This window comes from Homo sapiens, chromosome 5, assembly GCF_000001405.40.
Source record: "Homo sapiens chromosome 5, GRCh38.p14 Primary Assembly".
Classification (NCBI taxonomy): Eukaryota; Metazoa; Chordata; class Mammalia; order Primates; family Hominidae; genus Homo; species Homo sapiens.
In genome coordinates, this window is record NC_000005.10 from 129,883,039 (window position 1) to 129,907,844 (window position 24,806).

The 24,806-nt window shown below is 39.8% G+C and overlaps 1 protein-coding gene and 1 long non-coding RNA gene across 7 annotated transcripts in view, besides 1 other annotated feature; one reads left to right on the top strand and one right to left on the bottom strand.

Moving 5' to 3' along the window:
• Positions 1–2,826: 2,826 nt before the first annotated feature.
• On the bottom strand, positions 2,827–22,889 carry CHSY3-AS1 (CHSY3 antisense RNA 1). Its single transcript, XR_002956248.2, has 3 exons — positions 22,804–22,889; positions 16,423–16,471; positions 2,827–3,210 (listed from the first exon to the last, which is right to left on the bottom strand). It is a non-coding gene; the product is annotated as a CHSY3 antisense RNA 1 (long non-coding RNA).
• CHSY3 (chondroitin sulfate synthase 3) overlaps positions 20,941–24,806 on the top strand; it is a 282,656-nt gene continuing 278,790 nt past the window's right edge. For 5 of the 6 annotated variants that reach the window (XM_011543365.4, NM_175856.5, XM_005271982.5 and 2 more), the window contains exon 1: positions 21,427–22,593. In XM_011543365.4, the coding sequence (XP_011541667.1) occupies positions 21,792–22,593 (802 nt within the window). In that variant the 5' untranslated portion in view covers positions 21,427–21,791. Of the gene's footprint in view, positions 21,032–21,426; positions 22,594–24,806 lie in introns of those variants that run through there. The other variant, XM_011543363.4, reaches the window with a different exon arrangement.
• Positions 21,585–21,794: a silencer, noted in NCBI's record as "silent region_16299". NCBI's record gives its function as "represses an Ori minimal core promoter by ATAC-STARR-seq in GM12878 lymphoblastoid cells {active_cell/tissue: GM12878}" and the evidence as "EXISTENCE:reporter gene assay evidence [ECO:0000049][PMID:35858748]".

The window sequence follows — 24,806 nt, forward strand, 5'->3', positions numbered from 1 at the left end:
ACTCCATGAGGCCCATTCGGGAGGAATGTGTGTTAAAACTTAAGCGAGGTCAGAGGCCTCCTCTGCTCAAATCTCTGCAATGGCTTCCCATCTCACTCCAAGTGAAAGCCTTACATTGGCCAACAGGTGCTACAGGGCATATCCCTTACCTTGCTAACCTCATCTTTTATGACATTCCCCTTACTACACTCCCCTTCAGCCATCCCAGCCTCCTTGCTGCTTCTGGCACATATCACGCTTCCATCTGCCTGGAATGCTCCCTCCACAGGAATCACAGCGTTTTGCTTCCTCACCTCCTTCAAGTATTTGCTCATATGTGATCTTCTTAATGAGACCTTTCCTGACCACATCTTTAACAACTGCCTCCCTATCCCTAAGTTCTTAACCCACTTCTCTGTCTTATGTTTTCTTTTCTTTTCTTTTCTTTTTTTTTGAGACAGGGTCTAGCTCTGTCGCCAGGCTGGAGTGCAATGGCGCCATCTCGGCTCACTGCAACCTCCGCATCCCGGTTCAAGAGATTCTCCTGCCTCAGCCTCCCGAGTAGCTGGGACTACAGGCGTGCCCCACCATGCCCAGCTAACTTTTGTACTTTTAGTAGAGACAGGGTTTTACCATGTTAGCCAGGATGGTCTTGATCCCCCTTGACTGCGTGATCTGCCTGCCTCGGCCTCCCAAAGTACTGAGATTAGAGGCGTGAGCCACCATGTACTGTACAAAGTTAAAATATGTTTCATTTTATTGTCTGCCACTCCCCACCAGTGTGTAGCTCCCCAAGACAAGGGTGAGAGAATTTGATCTGTTTTGTTTAATGAAATCCCAGCACTTAGAACAGGACCACAAAGCAAGTGCTCAGTAAATCTTTGCCAAATAAATGAAAAGGGGACTAGATGATGGGTGGAGTCAAAGAGCAAAGGCCACTAGGCAGATGGACCAGGAAATCACATTTTTCGGCTGGGTGCGGTGGCTCACGCCTGTAATCCTAGCACTTTGGGAGGCTGAGGACGGCGGATCACGAGGTCTGGAGATAGAGACCATCCTGGCTAACACGGTGAAACCCCATCTCTACCAAAAATACAAAAAAATTAGCCGGGCGTGATGGCGAGCGCCTGTAGTCCCAGCTACTCGGGAGGCTGAGGCAGGAGAATGGCTTGAACCCGGGAGGCGGAGCTTGCAGTGAGCGGAGATCGAGCCACTGCACTCCAGCCTGAGTGACAGAGCGAGACTCCCTCTCAAGAAAAAAAAAAGAAATCACATTTTTCTATGTAAATGTGTGTGAGTGTATATTTCAGTCATATTCAAATATAGGGAATATCTATTAAGCACTTTCTGTTTTCCAGACCTTATGCTGGGGGTGTTCATCTTGTTTAACTAACTTAATCCACACAACAATTTGCAAAGCTATTAAAGAATGTCAGTGGAAGATAAACATTGAACACAAGGAGTATTTCTGAATTCTCTACCCACCCTGTACTCACTGCAAGGGTGTAGTAGGTTATTTTAAGGGCAGAATTCTCAGACATATGAATATATTCTTTCCTCTTAGTCTAGTTCCGTAGTCCTCAAACTTAAGTGGCATAAAATGCATTACATAAAGATATACATATCCAAAACCATGTATAATCTACTTTATAGGCAAATAAGGAGTTTTCAAGGGTAATTTTCACTCAACCCAATTTTCACCTTGCTTTTAATCTAATCTCTCATAAAATATAATGCCAAATTATACTAACTTTAATCCCATTGTAATTTAAAGTTACCTGTTTCTTCTTGAACTTCAGAATAAAGCTGCAACTGTCATATTTATGCACATACTTGAACATTATGTTAAGGAACCATTAAGCAAGAAGGCTGTTGTTTTTCACTGATATCTTTTAAATTCAAGCTTGCTTATATCCACTAACATAAAATTAAAGCAGCAAATTGATCTGTTGGTTGCCTGCTCCTCAGTGATGCAATGACAAGAAAACATAAAGTGTTGGCCGGGCGCGATGGCTCACACCTGTAATCCTAGCACTTTGGGAGGCCAAGGCGGGCGGATCACGAGGTCAGTAGATCGAGACCATCCTGGCTAACACGGTGAAACCCCGTCTCTACCAAAAATACAAAAAATTAGCCGGGCGTGGTGGCGGGTGCCTGTAGTCCCAGCTACTAGGAGGCTGAGGCAGGAGAATGGCGTGAACCCGGGAGGCGGAGCTTGCAGTGAGCCGAGTTCGCACCACTGCGCTCCAGCCTGGGCGGCAGAGCCAGACTCCACCTCAAAAAAAAAAAAAAAAAAAAAAACAGAAAACATAAAGTGTTGAAATATAGACAGCTTTATCTCTTATTTCCAATTGTCGATGCTTCTTGTCTAATTACTATTTTTTTGATTACGAGAGCTCTTCTTGGATGTTGTAAGTAAAATCAAAATTTTCTACTTATTTTTAAAGAATTTGGATCAGTTTAATTTCAGAGTGTCCTCAGATGGCAAGGTGAGTTGTTAAAAAAATGCTACTATTTATAATCACTTATCTACTTGATGCAGGATTTTATATTTGAACTAGTCTAACAAAAATATCCACAGGAATAAATTGTAGGCTGTATCTTCTTTAAGACTGCAATTGCTATCTACAATCCTCAATGTCAAAATTGTTCCTTCCTTACGTCTATCATGTTCATCAAACCTCATTGTTCCTCACTGAATTTTTTAGTAAGCAATTATTAACAACTTTAAATTGATTTAAGTAAATGTACAATTTATTTGTTTTAAGCAGAGGAGTTTGTATCATAATTCTTTTCTCTTTTTTAAAGTTCCGCTACTGAAAACAGATTAAAAATCACTGCTGTAGCCAGGGATTGGTGAACTTTTATTTAAAAAGCCAAATATTAAATATTTTAGGTATTGCAGGCCAAATGGCAAAATTGAGGATATTGTGTGGGTACTTACATAATATTTAAAATGTAACAATTTAAAAATGTAAAACCATTTTAAGATGTAAAAATCATTCTTAACTTGTAGGCCATACAAAATCAGGTGATGGTCTGGATTTAGCCTATGGGCTATAGTTTGTTCACCTCTATTCTAGCCCAATACCCCTATTTTTACTGGTGAATAAATGATTAGCAGAGTTGAATTTTCTATGAAAGTTTCACAGATATTGTAGCAACCCTACAAGCATGGACTGCAATGTAGGTCTCTTGATGTCCGACATCACTGTATCATTAATGAATAACCTAAGAAGAAAAGGGGCATCAATACAGACAGGAAAAGACAGCAAACCCCAGCTGAAGCCAAAACCACATAGAAAATGACTATATAAACACTCACTGTATAAAAGAACCATGTTTAGCAGGTTTTTTCCTTTCCCAAATTCAATCCCACTGAACTCTTTTTGAGCACAATTTCCTACGATTCATAAATAATTCATATATAATATACCAGAAGTTCCAGATGGCTAGGAACTGTGTGTGTACCTCTCTCTCTCTCTCTCCATATATATATATATATATATATATATATATATATATATATATATATGTCCAGCTTTCTACCTTACCTTCATAGCCTACATGTTTCCAAATTTTAAAAGGTCAATAAATACCACCTAACGAATAAAAAAGTAAAAATGGGAAAATATAGCTTCTTTTTCTTCTCACAGCCATAACTTATGTCTTGATGTGTAGGCTGAAATATTAGTGATATGATTAGGGATTACATAGCAGAAAATAAGATTGCTTCTAGTGTAAATAAGCTTCCATTTTGGGATTATTTCAATTAGTTTTACTTAGCAAGGTCTTCTAAGGAACTGAGCATAGACATTGGTATTAATCATTTTTTCAAATCTCTAGATCACCAAAAACTAAGAGTAAAAGGAAAGACCTATTTATCTTATTTTTATCCATATTGTACCACTAGATAATAGTAAGTTTTCTCTTTATAGAAGTATTTCAGAAACAAGGAAGAACAATGGTAGAATTAGAATATTGCCATTTGCAACTTCAAATGAATTGATGAATATAGGAATTAATTATAAACAGCTGCTTACATCAGAAATAGACAAATATTACATGTCTCCTTCTGAAAGAACATAAAGCTGTCTATGAAGTCCTTTGGTTCAAGAAGAAAAAAGTAAACTTGTATTGGCAATTCTCTACACCCTATACCAACTTACCAACTCACAGGGCATACAGAACATAGAGACGTGTGATAAATGACACCACAGGGGTGGAATCTGCAAAATCTCAGGTTGTAGGAAACCCCATAGGGCAAATGACCCAGTTTTTTCTTTTTAACTAAATATAATATAAAAAAAAGACAAAGACATAGAGGCATAACCTACTAGAGAAGCTTGAGAAGCATATAAAACAATACTGATTATAGGGAATTGATGAGACTATTGTGAAAATATGGAACTGATGAGACTGTTGGGAATTTGAATAATATTTAATAATATTAGGAAATGTTTCTTGGGTATTTTGTAAGGTCATGAAATTTGGTTATTTTAAAGTCCCTATCTTTTAGAGATACATACTGAAATATTAATATATAAATGATATTGCATTTGTGATTTGCTTTAAAATAATCCATTAGGGATCAAGCCGGTGGTGATATAGATAAAATTGGTCACGAGTTGAAGTTGGATGAACTGTACAGAGAGTTCTAGTCTATATACTTTGCATATGTTTGAAATATTCCCTGGTAATTTTTTTTAATAGTCAAAGGGAATCCCCCAAAATAAGACATGGTATGATGGCAGTAGTGGTCCCCTACCATGAATTCTGGTAGTTCAATAGGAAGTGGCAACAGGGAAAACATCAGCAGCCCCAATAGTCCCATAAAGTGGATTGTATACATAAGATACATTCCTCAATTTACAGAACTCTGAATTTGCAAGGCACATTTTTTGAAAATTCACTTGGTGTATTAAGGGTTACTTACATGGTTTATATCTGTAGTAGTATAGAAATTTGCTTTAGGAGTGAATATCACTTTCAATTAGTGGGTTAGAGCAGAGGCTACCAGGGTCCTACCCACATCTCCTCTCCTTACCACTTCAGTGTTTGCTAATGCTCTATCTTGCAATTACCAGCCCTTTTAACTCTTCACTGAGGGGCTTCCTCTGGCAGGTGGAGCGCAGTCTGACTGTGCAAGGGGCTGGCTACAAGTGCCACAATACAAGATAGTGTCCCCTAGGATGATGAATGAAGGTGTTTGTGTATAAATATCCCAACTTCTTTTCCAGTCGATAAGTCTAAGGGCCATGGCCTACACTGACTACCAGAATTTCCCAAGCAGAGTTATGCTCTATTATCTACAATGGTAACTGGCTTCAGAATTTATCCTTTTTTGGCTACTTTTCTTCCCTTAGTTTTCCTTTTACACTTTTCAACTTTTATACCAGTATTCCCTGGGATCACTTTACAAATAAACAACTTATTCTCACATCCTTATCTCAAAGTCTGCTTTATGAGTAATTCAAACCAAGAGTTAGGGAAATATACATATATTCAATTTGAAAACAAAATTAAATGAAGGTAATTTTGTTCTGTACTGGAGAACCTAGGATTTTAGCCATCAATCCATGTTTTTGAGATTGGTAAATGTAAGTAGAAGGGTATAATAGTTTTGCTTTTCATATTAGTTTTTATATTAACTTAAAGTATGCTGTTAGGACTTTGAATTATCAAGTTATCAAGAAGATTTAAACAGTAGTTCACAAGCTCTAGTATGCTTAAGAATTGCTTAGCATTTCTAATTCACATTTATTGTGTTATAAATGTGGATTCCTGGCCCCTACCTTCAGAGATTCTAATTCAGTAGGATTTCAGATTTACTATTAATAGTTATGCCACAAAAAAGCATTAGAAATACTTATGTAATATTCCACTTTGAAAAACACTGACCTAGGTGCCAACGTTTTAATTATTTGTATACCGTCATGGCCAACTGGGTTCTGCATGCATACAAGAAGGTTTCAGATGACTTGGATGACTGTACTGTGTCCTGGAATCCTAATGCTGTGCTGCTAATACTAAAACCTAGATTTAATTTTAATCTGATTCAGATGGCACTGTTTTATTCCTGTCTGCTTTTCTGTAAAGGTCGACATGGGGAGAGCAGTCTGGAACAAAAATAATGTGTGTTGTAGAATGGAGGGTGAGCAAAGCTTCAGTGGGGGTCTAAAGAATGTAGTGCTTCACCCTAACTTATAATATTTGCTCTTATTCTTGGCTTGAAGCTATTCTTCTTGTCCTCTTTCTGCCTAATAAAAACTCAGAGATAAGGCCACAGGGGCCCAGTGAGAGAAAGCATCATCACCATTCTCCACCCCATACTATGGATCCTGCACGATAGTGTTGTTGCATTTTCTAGATGATGACCACTTGTAAATTCTTCTAGAATTTAACTTATGCGTGCAATTTTACTTTTTTCATACTCACAAAATTTAATTTGGAGTTAGCATTCCTTCTATTCCTAGAGCTCCAATTGGCATCAAAAGGAAAATAATTGCTCCTTCAACTTTATTGGTATGGCAAGGTTATCTTCCTTCCTCACTAAATTTTATGATTGTCCAACTATAGAATTAACTAATCAAGACATTATTTCTTTGATGGAATAATATAAAATGATTGGAACTTCAGAGTAACGCACTATCCTGGAGCTTATTTTTGTAGAAATGAGAAGTATATTCCCCAAATTGTTAAAGGTATTAATTTGTTACTGTATATAAATTAGAGAAGTCTTGAAAAATTTAAATTATATTGGTCTCAGACGATTCATTCAAACTACTGGATTCCTAAAAAACAATAGGTGTGACTCTAGAAACATGGAGACAATCATGTACTTAAAAACATTTCACTTGCTTAGGATTGTCTTGCCTATACGGGCTCTTTTTTTGTTCCATATGAAACTTAAAGTAGTTTTTTCTAACTCTGTGAAGATAGTTGATGGTAGCTTGATGGGGACAGCATCAAATCTATAAATTACTTTGGGCAGTATGGCCATTTTTATGGTATCGATTTTTGGTATCCATGCTTATGGAATGTTTTTCCAGTTGTTTGTGTCCTCTCTCATTTCCTTGAGCAGTGGTTTGTAGTTCTCCTTGAAGAGGTCCTTCACATCCCTTGTAAGTTGTATTCCTAGGTATTTTATTCTCTTTGTAGCAATTGTGAATGGGAGTTCACTCATTATTTGGCTCCCTATTATTGGAGTATAGGAATGCTTGTGATTTTCACACATTGATTTTGTATCCTGAGACTTTGCTGAAGTTGCTTATCAGCTTAAGGACATTTTGGGCTGAGATGATAGGGTTTTCTAAATATACAATCAAGTCATCTGGAAAGAGAGACAATTTGACTTTCTCTCTTCCTATTTGAATACACTTTATTTCTTTCTCTTGCCTGATTGCCCTGGCCAGAGCTTCCAATGCTATGTTGAACAGGAGTGGTGAGAGAGGGCACCCTTTTCTTGTGCCAGTTTTCAAAGGGAATGCTTCCACCTTTTGTGCATTCAGTATGATATTGGCTGTGGGTTTGTCATAAATAGCTCTTATTATTTTGAGATACATTCCATCAATACCTAGTTTATTGAGGATTTTTAGCATGAAGGGGTGTTGAATTTTATCTAAGGTGTTTTCAGCATCTATTGAGATAATCATGTGGTTTTTGTCATTCATTCTGTTTATGTGAGGGATTAAGTTTATTGATTTGCATATGTTGATCCAGCTTTGCATCCCAGGGATGAAGCCGATTTGATCATGGTGGATAAGATTTTTGATGTGCTGTTGGATTCGGTTTGCCACTATTCTATTGAGGATTTTCACATTGGTGTTCATCAGAGATATTGGCCTGAAATTTTCTTTTTTTCTGTTGTGTGTCTGCCAGGTTTTGGTATCAGGATGATGCTGGCCTCACAAAATGAGTTATGGAGGAATCCCTCTTTTTCTATTGTTTGGAATAGTTTCAGAAGGAATGGTACCAGATCCTCTTTGTACCTCTGGTAGAATTCAGCTGTGAATCCTCTGGTCCTGTGCTTTTTTTGGTTGGTAGGCTATTAATTACTGCCTCAATTTCAGAACTCGTTATTGGTCGATTCAGGGATTTGACTTCTTCCTGGTTTAGTCTTGGGAGGGTGTATGTGTCCAGGAATTTATCCATTTCTTCTAGATTTCCTAGTTTATTTGTATGGAGGTGTTTACAGCATTTTCTTGTGGTAGTTTGTATTTCTGTCGGATCAGTGGTAATATCCCCTTTATCATTTTTTATTGTGTCTATTTGATTCTTCTCTCTTTTCTTCTTTATTAGTCTGGCTAGCGGTCTATTTTATTATTAAAAAAAAACAGCTCCTGGATTCATTTATTATTTTGAAGGGTTTTTCGTGTCTCTATCTCTTTCAGTTCTGATCTGATTTTAGTTATTTCTTGTCTTCTGCTAGCTTTTGGATTTGTTTGCTCTTGCTTTTCTAGTTCTTTTAATTGTGATGTTAGGGTGGCTATTTTACATCTTTCCTGCTTTCCCTTGTGGGTATTTAGTGCTATAAATTTTCCTCTACACACTGCTTTAAATGTGTCCCAGAGATTCTGGCACATTGTGTCTTTGTTCTCATTGGTTTCAAAGAACGTCTTTATTTCTACCTTCATTTTGTTATTTACCCAGTAGTCATTCAGGAGTAGGTTGTTCAGTTTCCATGCAGTTGTGCAGTTTTGAGTGAGTTCCTCAATCCTGAGTTCTAATTTGCTTGCACTGTGGTCTGAGACACAGGTTGTTATAATTTCCATTCTTTTGCATTTGCTGAGGGTGTTTTGCTTCCAATTATGTGGTCAATTTTAGAATAAGTCCAATGAGGCACTGAGAAGAATGTATCTTCTTTTGATTTGGGGTGGAGAGTTCTATAGATGTCTATTAGGTCCGCTTGGTCCAGAGCTGAGTTCAAGTCCTGAATATCCTTGTTAATTTTCTGTCTCTTTGATCTGTCTAATATTGACAATGGGGTGTTAAAGTCTCCCACTATTATTGTGACTTCAAAGTATACTACAAGGCTACAGTAACTAAAACAGTATGATACTGGTACCAAACAGATATGTAGACCAATGGAACAGAACAGAGGCCTCAGAAACAACACCACACATCTACAATCATCTGATCTTTGACAAACCTGACAAAAACAAGCAATGGGGAAAGGATTCCCTATTTAATAAATGGTGCTGGGAAAACTGGCTACCCATATGCAGAAAACTGAAACTGGGCCCCTTCCTGACACCTTATACAAAAATCCACTCAAGATGGATGAAAGACTTAAATGTAAGACCTAAAACCATACACACCCTAGAAGAAAACCTAGGCGATACCATTCAGGACATATGCATGGGTAAAGACTTCATGACTAAAACCCAAAAACAATGGCAAAAAAAGCCAAAAGTGACAAATGAAATCTAATTAAACTAAAGAGCTTCTGCACAGCAAAAAAAAAAAAAAAGAAAAAAAAATCATCAGAGTGAACAGGCAACCTACAGAATAGGAGAAAATTTTTGCAATCTATCCATCTGACAAAGAGCTAATATCCAGAATCTACAAATAACTTAAACAAATTTACAAGAAAAAAAACCCCATCAAAAAATGGGCAAAGGATATGAAGAGACACTTCTCAAAAGAAGACATTTGTATGGCCAACAAACATATGAAAAAAAGCTTATCATCAATGGTCATTACAGAAATGCAAATCAAAACCACAATGAGATACCATCTCACACCAGTTAGAATGGCGATCATTAAAAAGTCAGGAAACAACAGATGCTGGAGAGGATGTGGAGAAATAGGAATGCTTTTACACTGTTGGTGGGAGTGTAAATTAGTTGAATCATTGTGGAAGACAGTGTGGCGATTCCTCAAGGATCTAGAACCAGAAATATCATTTGACCCAGCAATGCCATAACTGGGCATATACCCAAAGGATTATAAATCATTCTACTATAAAGACACATCCACACATATGCTGATTGCAGCACTGTTCACAACAGCAAAGACTTGCAGACAACCCAAATGCCTATCAATGATAGATTGGATAAAGAAAATGTGGCACATATACACCATGAAATACTATTCAGCCATAAAAAGGATGAGTTCATGTCCTTTGCAGGGACACGGATGAAGCTGGAAACTGCCATTATCAGCAAACTAACCAGAAGAACACAAAACCAAACACCACATGTTCTCACTCACAAGTGGGAGTTGAACAATGAGAACACATGGACACAGGGAGGAGAACATCACACACTGGGGACTGTTGTGGGGGTTGTGGGGCTTGGGGAGGGATAGCATTAGGAGAAATACCTAATGTAGATGACAGGTTGATGGGTGCAGCAAACCACCATGGCACGTGTATACATATGTAACTAACCTTCACATTCTGCACATGTATCCCAGAACTTAAAGTGTAATTTAAAAAAAAATTCAAAGTTCAAAAATGCAAATTCATGGCCAGTTACTCTATATGTCACCCCACTATTGATGTTCCATCACGGACAGAAAATTATTTTACTATTATTATTTTTATTATTTTTCTTTTGAGATGGAGTCTCACTCTGTCACCCATGCTGGAGTGCAGTGGCGGTATCTCGGCTCACTGCAACCTCCGCCTCCCGGGTTCAAGCGATTCTCCTGCCTCAGCCTCCTGAGTAGTTGGGACTACAGGCATGTGCCACCACACCCAGCTATTTTTGTATTTTCAGTAGAGATGGGGTTTTGCCATGTTGGCCAGGCTGGTCTCGAGCTCCTGACCTCAGGTGATCCACCTGCCTCAGCTTTCCAAAGTGCTGGGATTACAGGCATCAGCCACCGCGCATGGCCAGGACAGGAAATTCTAACTCTTGTTAATTTTTCCTAGGTAATTTTTTTTGGTACTTCTAGCAGAAAAAAAACTAAAGTAAGGAATTTCTTTAGACTAGCAATCTCAAACATTTTGTTCTTAAGGGATCTCAAGCATATATTGCATGATAAATTTAAAATGAGATAAAATTAAACATTTATTATTTCATTTAAAATAACAAACCTAACACATGTTAACATGATTAAATAAGATTGTGAAAATAATTATATTTTCTTTTTTTAATTTTATTTTATTAATATTATACTTTAAGTTTTAGGGTACATGTGCACAATGTGCAGGTTAGTTACACATGTATACATGTGCCATGCTGGTGTGCCGCACCTATTAACTCGTCATTGAGCATTAGGTATATCTCCTAAACCTATCCCTCCCCCCTCCCCCCACCCCACAACAATCGCCAGAGTGTGATGTTCCCCTTCCTGTGTCCATGTGTTCTCATTGTTCAATTCCCACCTATGAGTGAGAACATGCAGTGTTTGGTTTTTTGTCCTTGCGATAGTTTACTGAGAATGATGATTTCCAATTTCATCCATGTCCCTACAAAGGACATGAGCTCATCATTTTTTATGGCTGCATAGTATTCCATGGTGTATATGTGCCACATTTTCTTAATCCAGTCTATCATTGTTGGACATTTGGGTTGGTTCCAAGTCTTTGCTACTGTGAATAGTGCCTCAATAAACATATGTGTGCATGTGTCTTTATAGCAGCAAGATTTATAGTCCTTTGGGTATATACCCAGTAATGGGATGGCTGGGTCAAATGGTATTTCTAGTTCTACATCCCTGAGGAATCGCCACACCGACTTCCACAATGGTTGAACTAGTTTACAGTCCCACCAAAAGTGTAAAAATGTTCCTATTTCTCCACTTCCTCTCCAGCATCTGTTGTTTCCTGACTTTTTAATGATTGCTATTCTAACTGGTGTGAGATGGTATCTCATTGTGGTTTTGATTTGCATTTCTCTGATGGCCAGTGATGGTGAGCATTTTTTCATGTGTTTTTTGGATGCATAAATGTCTTCTTTTGAGAAGTGTCTGTTCATGTCCTTCGCCCACTTTTTGATGGGGATGTTTTTTTCTTGTAAATTTGTTTGAGTTCATTGTAGATTCTGGATATTAGCCCTTTGTCAGATGAGTAGGTTGTGAAAATTTTCTCCCATTTTGTAGGTTGCCTGTTCACTCTGATGGTAGTTTCTTTTGCTGTGCAGAAAATCTTTAGTTTAATTAGATCCCATTTGTCAATTTTGGCTTTTGTTGCCATTGTTTTTGGTGTTTTAGACATGAAGTCCTTGCCCATGCCTATGTCCTGAATGGTAATGCCTAGGATTTCTTCTGGGGGTTTTATGGTTTTAGGTCTAATGTTTAAGTCTTTAATCCATCTTGAATTAATTTTTGTATAAGGTGTAAGGAAGGGATCCAGTTTCAGCTTTCTACATATGGCTAGCCAGTTTTCCCAGCACTTTTTATTAAATAGAGAATCCTTTCCCCATTGCTTTTCTCAGGTTTGTCAAAGATCAGATAGTTGTAGATATGCAATGCTATTTCTGAGGGCTCTGTTCTGTTCCATTGATCTATATCTCTGTTTTGGTACCAGTACCATGCTGTTTTGGTTACTGTGGCCTTGTAGTATAGTTTGAAGTCAGGTAGCATGATGCCTCCAGCTTTGTTCTTTTGGCTTAGGATTGACTTGGCGATGTGGGCTCTTTTTGGTTCCATATGAACTTTAAAGTAGTTTTTTCCAATTCTGTGAAGAAAGTCATTGGTAGCTTGATGGGGATGGCATTGAATCTATCAATTACCTTGGGCAGTATGGCCATTTTCAAGATATTGATTCTTCCTACCCATGAGCATGGAATGTTCTTCCATTTGTTTGTATCCTCTTTTATTTCCTTGAGCAGTGGTTTGTAGTTCTCCTCGAAGAGGTCCTTCACATCCCTTGTAAGTTGGATTCCTAGGTATTTTATTCTCTTTGAAGCAATTGTGAATGGGAGTTCACTCATGATTTGGCTCTCTGTTTGTCTGTTATTGGTGTATTAGAATGCTTGTGATTTTTGTACATTGATTTTGTATCCCGAGACTTTGCTGAAGTTGCTTATCAGCTTAAGGAGATTTTGGGCTGAGACAATGGGGTTTTCTAGATATACAATCATGTCATCTGCAAACAGGGACAATTTGACTTCCTCTTTTCCTAATTGAATACCCTTTATTTCCTTCTCCTGCCTAATTGCCCTGGCCAGAACTTCCAACACTATGTTGAATAGGAGTGGTGAGAGAGGGCATCCCTGTCTTGTGCCAGTTTTCAAAGGGAATGCTTGCAGTTTTTGCCCATTCAGTATGATACTGGCTGTGGGTTTGTCATAGATAGCTCTTATTATTTTGAGATACGTCCCATGAATACCTAATTTATTGAGAGTTTTTAGCATGAAGGTTGTTGAATTTTGTCAAAGGCCTTTTCTGCATCTATTGAGATAATCATGTGGTTTTTGTCTTTGGTTCTGTTTACATGCTGGATTACATTTATTGATTTGCATATATTGAACCAGCCTTGCATCCCAGGGATGAAGTCCACTTGATCATGGTGGATAAGCTTTTTGATGTGCTGCTGGATTCGGTTTGCCAGTATTTTATTGAGGATTTTTGCATCACTGTTCATCAAGGATATTGGTCTAAAATTGTCTTTTTTGGTTGTGTCTCTGCCAGGCTTTGGTATCAGGATGATGCTGGCCTCATAAAATGAGTTAGAGAAGAATCCCTCTTTTTCTATTGATTGGAATAGTTTCAGAAGGAATGGTACCAGTTCCTCCTTGTACCTCTCGTAGAATTCGGCTGTGAATCCATGTGGTCCTGGACTCTTTTTGGTTGGTAAGCTATTGATTATTGCCACAATTTCAGAACCTGTTATTGGTCTATTCAGAGAGTCAACTTCTTCCTGGTTTAGTCTTGGGAGGGTGTATGTGTCGAGGAATTTATCCATTTCTTCTAGATTTTCTAGTTTATTTGCGTAGAGGTGTTTGTAGTCTTCTCTGATGGTAGTTTGTATTTCTGTGAGATCGGTGGTGATATCCCCTTTATCATTTTTTATTGCGTCTATTTGATTCTTCTCTCTTTACTTCTTTATTAGTCTTGCTAGCGGTCTATCAATTTTGTTGATCCTTTCAAAAAACCAGCTCCTGGATTCATTAATTTTTTGAAGGGTTTTTTGTGTCTCTATTTCCTTCAGTTCTGCTCTGATTTTAGTTATTTCTTGCCTTCTGCTAGCTTTTGAATGTGTTTGCTCTTGCTTTTCTAGTTCTTTTAATTGTGATGTTAGGGTGTCAATTTTGGATCTTTCCTGCTTTCTCTTGTGGGCATTTAGTGCTATAAATTTCCCTCTACACACTGCTTTGAATGTGTCCCAGAGATTCTGGTATGTTGTGTCTTTGTTCTTGTTGATTTCAAAGAACATCATAAAGAAAATAATTATATTTTCAAACACCCCCAAGAATTTTGAAGACTTGCAGAAAAATAATCTGCTCTCCCGGTGCCAATATTCTGTTGAAAGTCATAAATCCTTACTTTAAATAACTATTGAAATATTTGTGTCATTATTAGTTCACTACAGACTTAAATAAAAATCCACTGCTGTATGCAGCACCTTAAGATGAATTATAAATTATTCCTGTCTCATTCACTCAAGATACAAAATCTTAGATAGAATACCCAACTTGCTAAGCCTAAGCCATATCCCCTTGACACGGGGTTGAGAGATATGGTATCTAACTTCTCCTACATCCTAGTAAGGTATCCTAAAATTTAAATAAGAGTAATCATTACGGAAAAGGAAAGACCCCTAATCTCTCCTCTTATGTTTAACTTGTCATGATATGTGGTTATAAAGAAATGTATATATGTGTGTTTCTATATGTACATACACACACACACATATATATAGTGTTTCTGTATGTAAACACATACATACATACATATTTATGTGTATAAATATGCAATGTATTCATATGTTGATATCTCGGAATGCAGCACAATGAATCCTGTAAACATCCTGAAATCCAATTGTCTCTGTCATTTAAAATGTTTTTAGGCTTAATAGTCAGAAATGGTATTTTTTTAATTTAAAAAATGTTTTAGCTTCCCCCATCCGTTTAGTTTTAGTTGACATGTAATAATTGTATATATTTATGGGATACAGAGTGATATTTTAATACATGTACATAATATATAATGATCAAATCAGGGTAATTAGCATATGATACCTATCACCTGAAACATTTTACCTTTCTTTGTGCTGTGAACATTCAAAAATCTTCTCTTCTAGCTTTTTGGAAATATACAAAAATGATAATGAACCATATTCACCCTGTGATGCTTCAGAACACCCAAACTCATTCCTCCTATCTAGCTGTAATTTTGAATCCTTTATGCAAGTTCTCCTCCTCCTCCCCCTTATGCTTCCCAGCCTCGAATACCCACAACTCTACTCTCTACTGGAACTGGATACATTAAGGAAAATAAAATAAAGTATATTAGTAAGATTAATTTCACATGTCCTTGCTTTGTAAAATGTGGCTACTAAAAAATTTTAAATTACATATGTGGATAATATTATATCTCTACTGAACAGCACAGATCTATGGGACAGGAAAGGAAACCAATAATTAACAGGGTTGACAATTAAAGCAACAGAAAGAAGGTGGCACATGCATTTTATTTTAAGTTTTCCGAGATAGGAAATATTGAATTGGAGATTATTCATATTTTAGGAAAGTAGTGAACGGAGGCAATTAAAAATAAAAATCTTTTTTTTTTAGCATAAATTCAGTTTAGTGATTAGGAACTTGAGATTTTGCAGCCCATTACCTAATCAGAGACTATTACTACTTACGAAAAAATTCTCATGTGTAAATAGTCCCTTTTTCTTTGTAAAAGCTTGACCGAGTATTTTGCTTATGTCTCAGACTGTCATGGGGCCAAGAAGGGCTGGAAGAAGTGGATGTTTTTATTTCAATTGATTGCTTTTTGACCCTTTCCTAAGTGACAGGAGGAGTTTCATTCTTTCCTCCTCAATTGATCTTCTCACTGATTGTTTAAACAAGTGGACCATATCTTGGTTAGGTAAATCTACAGAAAATAAATGAAGAGTATGTTCTGACCTTAAACAAATGAAGTATTTTTTAAAAATCTTTTTATTATAGAGATCCAAATTTATCTGAAGATAATTACCTACCCTAATAGTAATCAATACCTGGCCAATCAGACCCTATTCACATCTACATCCATTTAGCACCTCCCTCCATCCCATATATTTAAATCCCAGATATCATACCATTTTATCTATAAACATTTCAGTATGTATTTCAGAAAATAAGGACTCTTTGTATAAAAAAACAAGGCTACAATAGCATTATCATACCTAAAAAGTAATTCTTGATTAATAAACCTTTGGTAGCATCAAATCTGCTCAGTGTAAAAAAATTTACTGGAATATTTTCATGGTGATTAAATGCAGATTAATACCAGGCTCTGAAACTTACATAGTTTTATGATATGCCATAAATAATTTACCTTTTCATGTTTCAATATATGAATTTTGATCATCTTCTCATGCTGATTTCTGAGAAAATAAAAATAGAATCAAATTGTTATCTTATTATGTCCCTCTGATTATAATACTCCTTGGCAATATAAAAATATTTTGTAACACAATTTATCCCTTAGGAACAAACTGAATTACCATTATGATTATTAACCACTAGATGCCACAGTTGCTTCACACAAATGAAATTAACTCAGCCTTGATCTGTCAAGAAAAAATGATAACATTCAAAATAGCTTAGTAAAATCCTGATTCAAAGTGTCAGTACAAGCCTAATCTTGATTATACCTTGTAACAGAAGCATAAACTGAACATTCATGTATATATTGACCTTTTACTTTCATAAATGATCAAAGAATGATTCCACCCTTTAAAGTCACTTGCGCCTTTTCTGTGATTTTAAAGTTATTAGTAACCTTTTCCAATTAGTTTTAATATCTAATGTAGTCCCATTAGAGCAGTTTGCTCAAAGACTCTCTGCTAAGTATAGCAGACTTTGTCTTGGGGTGGTTGACATTAAAGTCTTTCCAAAGCCACAGGAACACAATCTCTACAAGAAGAAATCTGTCTTCACTGTGAATCCAGATGATACCTTATGTTCCAGTAGCTACAGCTCAGAGAAGGTGGCAAATAATTCATATGTTACTGTAGTCTAATATGGACATATTTGAAATAGTTAAAGGGTTTAGGAAAGACAGAAAATCAGTTTTGTAATTTTCTTTGTAAACTATTATAATTTTAGAAGGATTTTATTATTGCTTTTTTCTCAAAATCCACTATAGAGGTGCTTCACAGAGATTTTATGAGATGGTTCACAAGTATACTTATTGGCACATTCTTGCTTAGATAAGAACAGCAACTATATGAGACATTTTTTCCAGAGTTATTATTATAGAATTACCTATATTTGTGTATTCTTTCCTCTAACACAGTATATAGATTTTTATTATATTTTGGTATGCAATTATGTTTATTTTTCTTCAATGTTAGTTCCATGAAAATTTCCTCCTCAACAACCCTTACATCCAATTGACATTTTTAAAAATTATTCCTATAACTTATTACTTAATGTTTTGAAAATAAAAAAGTGAGTTCTTGATAGAGATTTCCCAGAAAATTACCTCCTCTAAAAGTCATGTATCTTCAGAACTAAAGTGAGATGAGAAAATTACTTCACTGACTTTGGGAAACGCCCACAAATAACACCCACAAATAACAGGAATCTGAATACATATAAAATTAAATTTACATAAAAATCTTTTCCCAAAGCTTCTACTTATTACAAATAAGGAAAGGGGCAGACACTGTGCAGGAAGAAAAAAAAAAGAGGCTTGTTTTTTCCCTTCTATTCTCAAGTGATGAGGTCACTTCAATAAAGATTTAAATGTTTTCTCTAATTCTACCCTTGTCCCACTGCAGTTTATTTTCTCCCCATAGGAGCTAGAATGATCTTTGTAAACAATAAATAAAAACCAGATCACTACTCTACACAACAGCTTCATTGTCACTCGGAATAAAAGCCAAAGTCTTTATGAATGTCTGCAAGGATCTATATATGCACTGTCCAATATGGTAGTCCCTAGCCACTTGTGTCTATTGAACATTGGAAATGTGGCTAGTTTGAATTCAGGTGTGCTGTAAGTGATGAGCACACAATGGTTTTGAAAAATTAGTACTAATAAAAAGGATGTAAAATATCTCCCGATATTTTGGGTATATTAAGTTGAATAAAAAGTATGAAAATCAATTTCACCTGTTTTTAAATGAGGCTTCTAGAAAAAAATTAAATTATATATCTTGCAGTTGTGGCTCACATTATAATTCTATTCAGCACTGACCTAAATTATCAACAAGTCATCCGCTTCCTCCTTTTTCCAATCTACTTTGGCCTCTGCTGCGTCTCAATATGCCATGTCTGTGTCAAAGACTTGTGTTAGCTACTCCTTCTCCTTGAAAAGTATTATTTCAGATATCTTCAGGATTAGTTTCCTCACTTTTTTCTGTTTTCTGCTAAAAGTATCAGAAAGAACTTTCCTGACGTATCAGTTTTAAGTGGCCTCACCCAACACATAATACACTCACTATCCTTCTCTTTTTTTTAAATAAACACTTACACCGACATATTACAGATATTTCTTTATATGTAAAAATACTTCATATACACACATGCATGCGTGTGTGTGTGTGTGTGTGTGTGTGTGTGTGTGTGTAATCTCCTCTTAGAATACAAGTCCCATGAAGTCAGGACTTTGTTTTGTCTACGTTTTTTTTCTCAGTGATAGTGTCTGCCTCACAGTACATACTAAATAAGTATCTGTTAAATAAATGAAAAGATGAAATGTAATAAAAATAAGATGATAGATACCATGAGAGAGACGTTTTAGCATAAGGGAAGGGATTAGAAAATGAGAACATTTCCCAAGTGTTTACAATGAACTAAACATTATGTTAAGCACTTCATATAGTATATTAATAAAGCCTCACAGAAATGAATTTACAGATGAGAAATCAAAAACTTAGAATTTTCACAACTTGCCCAAGGTCACTTGTCTCATATGTAATATCACTTCAATGATTTCATTTTATCTGAATCTTTTCTAGTGCCTTCCCTGACTCCCATACTAAATTAGATGCTCTTATAAATATTCTCAGAGTACTCTGTATTTCTATTCATATCATTTATCACCATTGTAATTCATTTCCTAGTGTGATGTTTAATGTGTCTTCTTCAATGCACTATAAGCTTCATGATGGGAAGCACTGAATAGTTTGTTGACATCTCCATGTCCAGAGCCTTCCACCTTGTCTAATGTTTAATCTCTAATATACACTTGTTGAATAAGTGAATGAAATTAACTTCCTCTCCAAATATTCCAAACAGTTGATGAATTGGGTTATTTATGCCCAATGAGAATTAATGATTTTGTAGATCAACAATATGAATGGCATCCATTACCATAAAGCCCAGTTGAATACTGCAGGGGAGAGGGTACTGGTGTGTAGGTGGACTTATTTGTCCTTTACTGTTGACCATATGCAATAGGAAATCCTCTGTAAATGTGCTGTCCTACATGGTAACCCCTAGCCACATGGGGCTATTTAAATAAAAAGTAATTAAAATTAAATAAAATGAAAATTCATTTCTTCAATCACACTAGTCACCTTTCAATGCTCCATAATTTTATGTGGCTACTGTCTTATCAGCACAAATAAAAAAAAATTTCCATTATAGCGAAAGTTCTATTGAATAGTACTATTCTAGAAATTTTAAAATGCCTTTGACGATTTAAAAATCAGAAGGGGCCTGTTTGACTAGCTTTGTATTCTAACTAAAATTTAACTTTGAGAGAGCCCAGTAATCTGTATTCCCAAGTGTCTCTGGGAAAAACCTAGACATGGAAAAGGAGCTTCATTGTCCAGCAGATGAAACATTTAGTCAGACGTGCTCATGCACAGCCAGGGACCGGTGTGGAAAGAACCATTCCTCCAAAGGCTCCAGGCAGGCCTAGTGTTCCAGGGACGCTGCCAGCACCTCGCTGGATCGAGCCATTATGTCTAATGCCATTCAATACCATCCCTTTGCGTTTGATGTCTAAAACAGAAGACTGAAATTTGAAGAGAAGGAAGTACTTGGGATGCCAAATGCACCCCAGACTATAGCTTTATGCACAACCTTTAGAGAGAAATTTGTTAATGCTCCCTTCTTCAAAAATCATATACCTTCAGGTAATTTCTTCCTAACGTAACTAAGGCACAATGATTTTGGCCAATACAGCTTAACTTTTTTTGAGATTCTGTTGCTGGACAATTTTCCTCCCTCATTGGAGAGGTAAAATTTTCCTGTCTTTGCCTTAGAAAATAAAACGGTTCATAGGCAAGAATAAAAATCATATCCTCCATTTTATTTTTTGATTAAGTTCACTTATTTTGTGGGGGTAAGAATTTCTTTCGTTTGGATCTTCAGGGTATTGGCCCTGTGAATGTGTGCCCATTTCTCCACTATTTGCCAGTCCCACTGAGCCAATCTTCTACCAAGACTGAAAATAGACCATAGTTCTCATTTCTTGAACAGATATCATCAGGAGAGCCGAGGGGGAGACCATTAGGCAGCCCCACATTTTCCAACTCAACAGGTGGAGGACATGGGATTTTTACGTTCTTTGGGGATTGAACCCCCACACACCACCAACTCCCTTAGCCTTTCAGGATAAGTATTTCCAATCCCTCAGAGATTTTCTTAGGAGAGACCCTAACGACAATGGTGCTTCTGTGAAGGACTGAGGAGAGCTGGTGGACGATGCAGGTAGGAGGGAAGTTAGGCTGGGAGGAGAGGTGCTGGGATGGGACGTTTGGTTTCCTGACAAGTGACCGACTAGAGAGAGAAGGCGCGGAGTGGCAGCGGTAAGAACAACGTGGAAAGGACGGAAAACGCGAAGAGTGGCGCCCTGGCGGACCTGGGGCGGGGCAGAGTGGTAAGGGTCACGCCAGGACGTACCCGGCTGTGGGCCGGGGGAGGAGAGCACGGTGGGACAGCAACGAACTTGCTGGGGGCTCCCGGACCCGAGCTCCGCCGATGAGGTCAGCGGAGCCTAGGCGCCGGGAGGAGGCCAGTAGAGCCCCCAGACACGAGTGTCGGGAGGCCAGCGGAGGGGCGGGACGGGACGGGAAATGGGACGAAGAGCAAGAGCTGGGGGAGGAGGGAAGAGGGGGCGTCGGCGCTGCAAGCCGGAGGCGGCCCGACAGGGATCGTTTCCTTCCGGAGAGGAGGCCGGCTCTGGACTGAGGCGCGGACGGGGGGCGTCCAAGGGCGGGTGACGGGGAAATACCGCGGCCCGCGCTTCTCTCCGGCTGGCAGCGGTGCCGCCTGCGGCTCCTCCTCCGGGCCAGCTCGGAGCCCGGCGGCGGGGGGAGCGGGAGGCGGGAGTGAGGGCGGGGGCTCGGGAAGGAGGGAGGAGGGAGGGCCCAGGCGCGCCACTGACAGGGTGGCAGCCTAGGAGCGGACGCGTTGCCGCCGCCGCTGCTCCTCCTCCTCCTCCTGCAGCTCCTCCAGCTGCCGCTGCTGCCGCCGCTGCCGCCACCGCCGCCGCCGGGAGAAGTTTCACTCCCGACCCTTGCTCGGAGCCCCGGCCCAGAGCTGAGCGGGAGCCCGGCAGGCAGCTGCAGCCCGCGGCAGTCGAGGCGTCCGCGGCGCTTCGACCTCCAGCCGGTGTCGGCGCCTAGGCGGCCGGCTGCGGCCGCGGCTGGGGGCGCAAAGGCGGAGGAGGGGCGGGTGTGAGCCGGGGAAACCGCGTGCCGCGCCGCGACAGCCCAGCGAGCGTCCGCGCCCGGGACAGCCGCGATGGCTGTGCGCTCTCGCCGCCCGTGGATGAGCGTGGCATTAGGGCTGGTGCTGGGCTTCACCGCCGCGTCCTGGCTCATCGCCCCCAGGGTGGCGGAGCTGAGCGAGAGGAAGAGACGTGGCTCCAGCCTCTGCTCCTACTACGGTCGCTCTGCTGCTGGCCCCCGCGCCGGCGCTCAGCAGCCGCTCCCCCAGCCCCAGTCCCGACCACGGCAGGAGCAGTCGCCGCCCCCCGCGCGCCAGGATCTCCAGGGGCCACCGCTGCCCGAGGCAGCACCCGGGATCACCAGTTTTCGAAGCAGCCCCTGGCAGCAGCCACCTCCGCTGCAGCAGCGGCGGCGAGGACGCGAGCCTGAGGGCGCGACGGGGCTTCCCGGTGCTCCAGCGGCCGAGGGGGAGCCCGAGGAGGAGGACGGGGGCGCGGCTGGGCAGCGGAGAGACGGCCGGCCGGGGAGTAGCCACAACGGCAGCGGGGACGGGGGCGCTGCCGCCCCGAGCGCCCGACCCCGGGACTTCCTGTACGTGGGGGTGATGACCGCGCAGAAGTACCTGGGCAGCCGCGCGCTGGCCGCGCAGCGGACCTGGGCGCGTTTCATCCCGGGCCGCGTGGAGTTCTTTTCCAGCCAGCAGCCCCCCAACGCCGGCCAGCCCCCGCCACCCCTGCCTGTCATCGCGCTACCGGGTGTGGACGACTCCTATCCTCCCCAGAAAAAGTCCTTCATGATGATCAAGTACATGCACGACCACTACCTGGACAAGTATGAGTGGTTCATGCGCGCCGACGACGATGTCTACATCAAAGGTGACCTCCCTGCGCCGGCTTTCCAGCCTGCCAGTCTCCCCGACTCCTTTCTCTGTAACCGGTCCTAGCCCCTGCCCAGCCCCTCCGCTGCTTCTCTGCCAGCACGTGCTTCGGGCTCCCACAGGCCCTGGCCCGCCCTCCCCACCCCTTGCATCCGCCCACAATTCGTAGCCCGTTCCTCGTCTTCTGCAATCTGGACCCTCCTCACACCTGCCTGGCTTTATTCGCCTTCCTCACTTGCTGTTTTCGGTGCCGCCTCGCGCTTGTCCCTTAGTCTTTACCTCGTCGGAGAGGTTAGAAAAGGAACCTTAGAGCTAAACCAAAGGCCATTCCCACTCTGCCCTCCTCTGAAAGCCCCTGCTGATGGTAGTTTCCCCAATCGGTCCAGAGGGGCGTGGTCTTCAGGAAGGGAAGACGGAGGATGCTAGCTACAACTAGTCTGGAGATCCAGTGTTCTGGCTTTGGATCTTGCTCTTTTGTTTAAACTGGATCTAGCGCACTTTTGGAACTGCTCAGATTGAGGAATCGTCTTCGCTGTCCCGGACCCTTTCCTATGTGTTCCCTTCCCTTTGGCTCAACTCTCCACATACTGGGAGTCCTTGGCCATCCCCACCGTGCCAGCGCGCTGCTCCTTCCAGCCGCTACAGTTCAGCACCAAGCCGTCCCCCATCCCCCCGCCACACCTCAATAAAACCCTGAGAGGATGGGCATGTTGTAAGGAATTGGTGGTGGGGGAAAAGAGGAAAGCACCCGCTAATAAGCCAGACCCCTGGGAACAGCAGACTGTACTAGCACACACTAGTATTGGTTCCTTTCCAGTGCATTTTGTTGGCCGCGGTGATAAGCAGAGGCTGGAAGTCCTTCCCAGAACCACAGGCAGCCACAGCAAGAAAAAACTTTTTTTGTCAGTTTAAAAGAGGCGCGGTCTTTTTCCCGGAATGTGGGCGGCTCTGGACAGAGAATTTCTAAACTCAGCGGATCAAAGTTCTTTAGGTCAGAGAAGTGAATCTTTCCAGTCCAGCCAGTTGCTGAGATGGGGAGCAACGCAAGGGAAGCAGCAGGGTTGTACCGAATGAGGTTTCTCTGTGTTTTCCACATTTCCTTGCTTCCCGGTCAAAGGGGGGCAGCCCTTCCTTATTTTATGCCTTTCTACTCGTAGCCTCATTGCTTCCTCCTGATTCGGATAGTACTTTTCACATAATGCAAGAAAAACGAACAAAAAGCCAAACAATAAACCCAAACTGTTGCATTTTGGCACAAGGAATTAGTGTAATCATAATAACTAGAGATTTCTTGGCTTTGGATTGGAAGGAGGGAAGTCACTCTAGAGCAGGTTGGAATAGAAAATACTGATAATTGGATATAAAAATAAAGAATGGTCTCATTACATTTTTAACAGTGGTATTTAGGATTGACTCAAAGAAGAAAGCTTCCTCTACTTTAAGTTCCTTGCCTTGGATATCTCAAAATTACAAAGGTTTCCTGGCAGAAGTTTGCCACATTTTGCAGGGAATTTATAAAATGCATTAACAGCACCTACTTCTTTCATTTGTTTTAATACTTTGAAAGATTGTCCTTCAGAACATTAAAATGACATATTATTTCAATTTCTATTAAGAATGAAATGTGTTTTGAATTAAGAATCCAATAATAGCTGAAACTCATTGAGATACACGGGGCAAGGCATGGGATCAAGATAATGACTGCAGATGCTGTGCTCATCAAAAATGGTAGTAAAGATGCTGACTGGGAATATGAAGAAGGTGACTCTCTACTTATTCCAATGTATCACTTGGAATACCAAGTGCTTCTCAACTGTTTTAGCTGCAAAATTTTATTTTTAAACGTTTTTTCTGAACTTAACAAACTGCAAGTGAAACCAATTACACTAATTTTTGACAAACTTTTTTCTAAAAAGGTGCCTTCCCAAATTAAATTTCAAGACAGGTTTGATTCAAACATCCTCCAAAACTGTGCGGGTTGTATATGACTGAAGTTTAGTTAATGGCAAAACACTGAACTAAACCAATTATGAGTAAAAAATAATTATTAGGTATTAAGAGTCAGCCAAAACAATGCTAAATACCAGTATTTAATATTATTTTATATTCCTGGGAACTTCTTGTTACTTCAAATGTACTAAGAAACCTGTCTTTACTTTCCTTGTCATTATTTCACTTTTTACAGAAAATTGATGATTGTCAGAGCTGTTA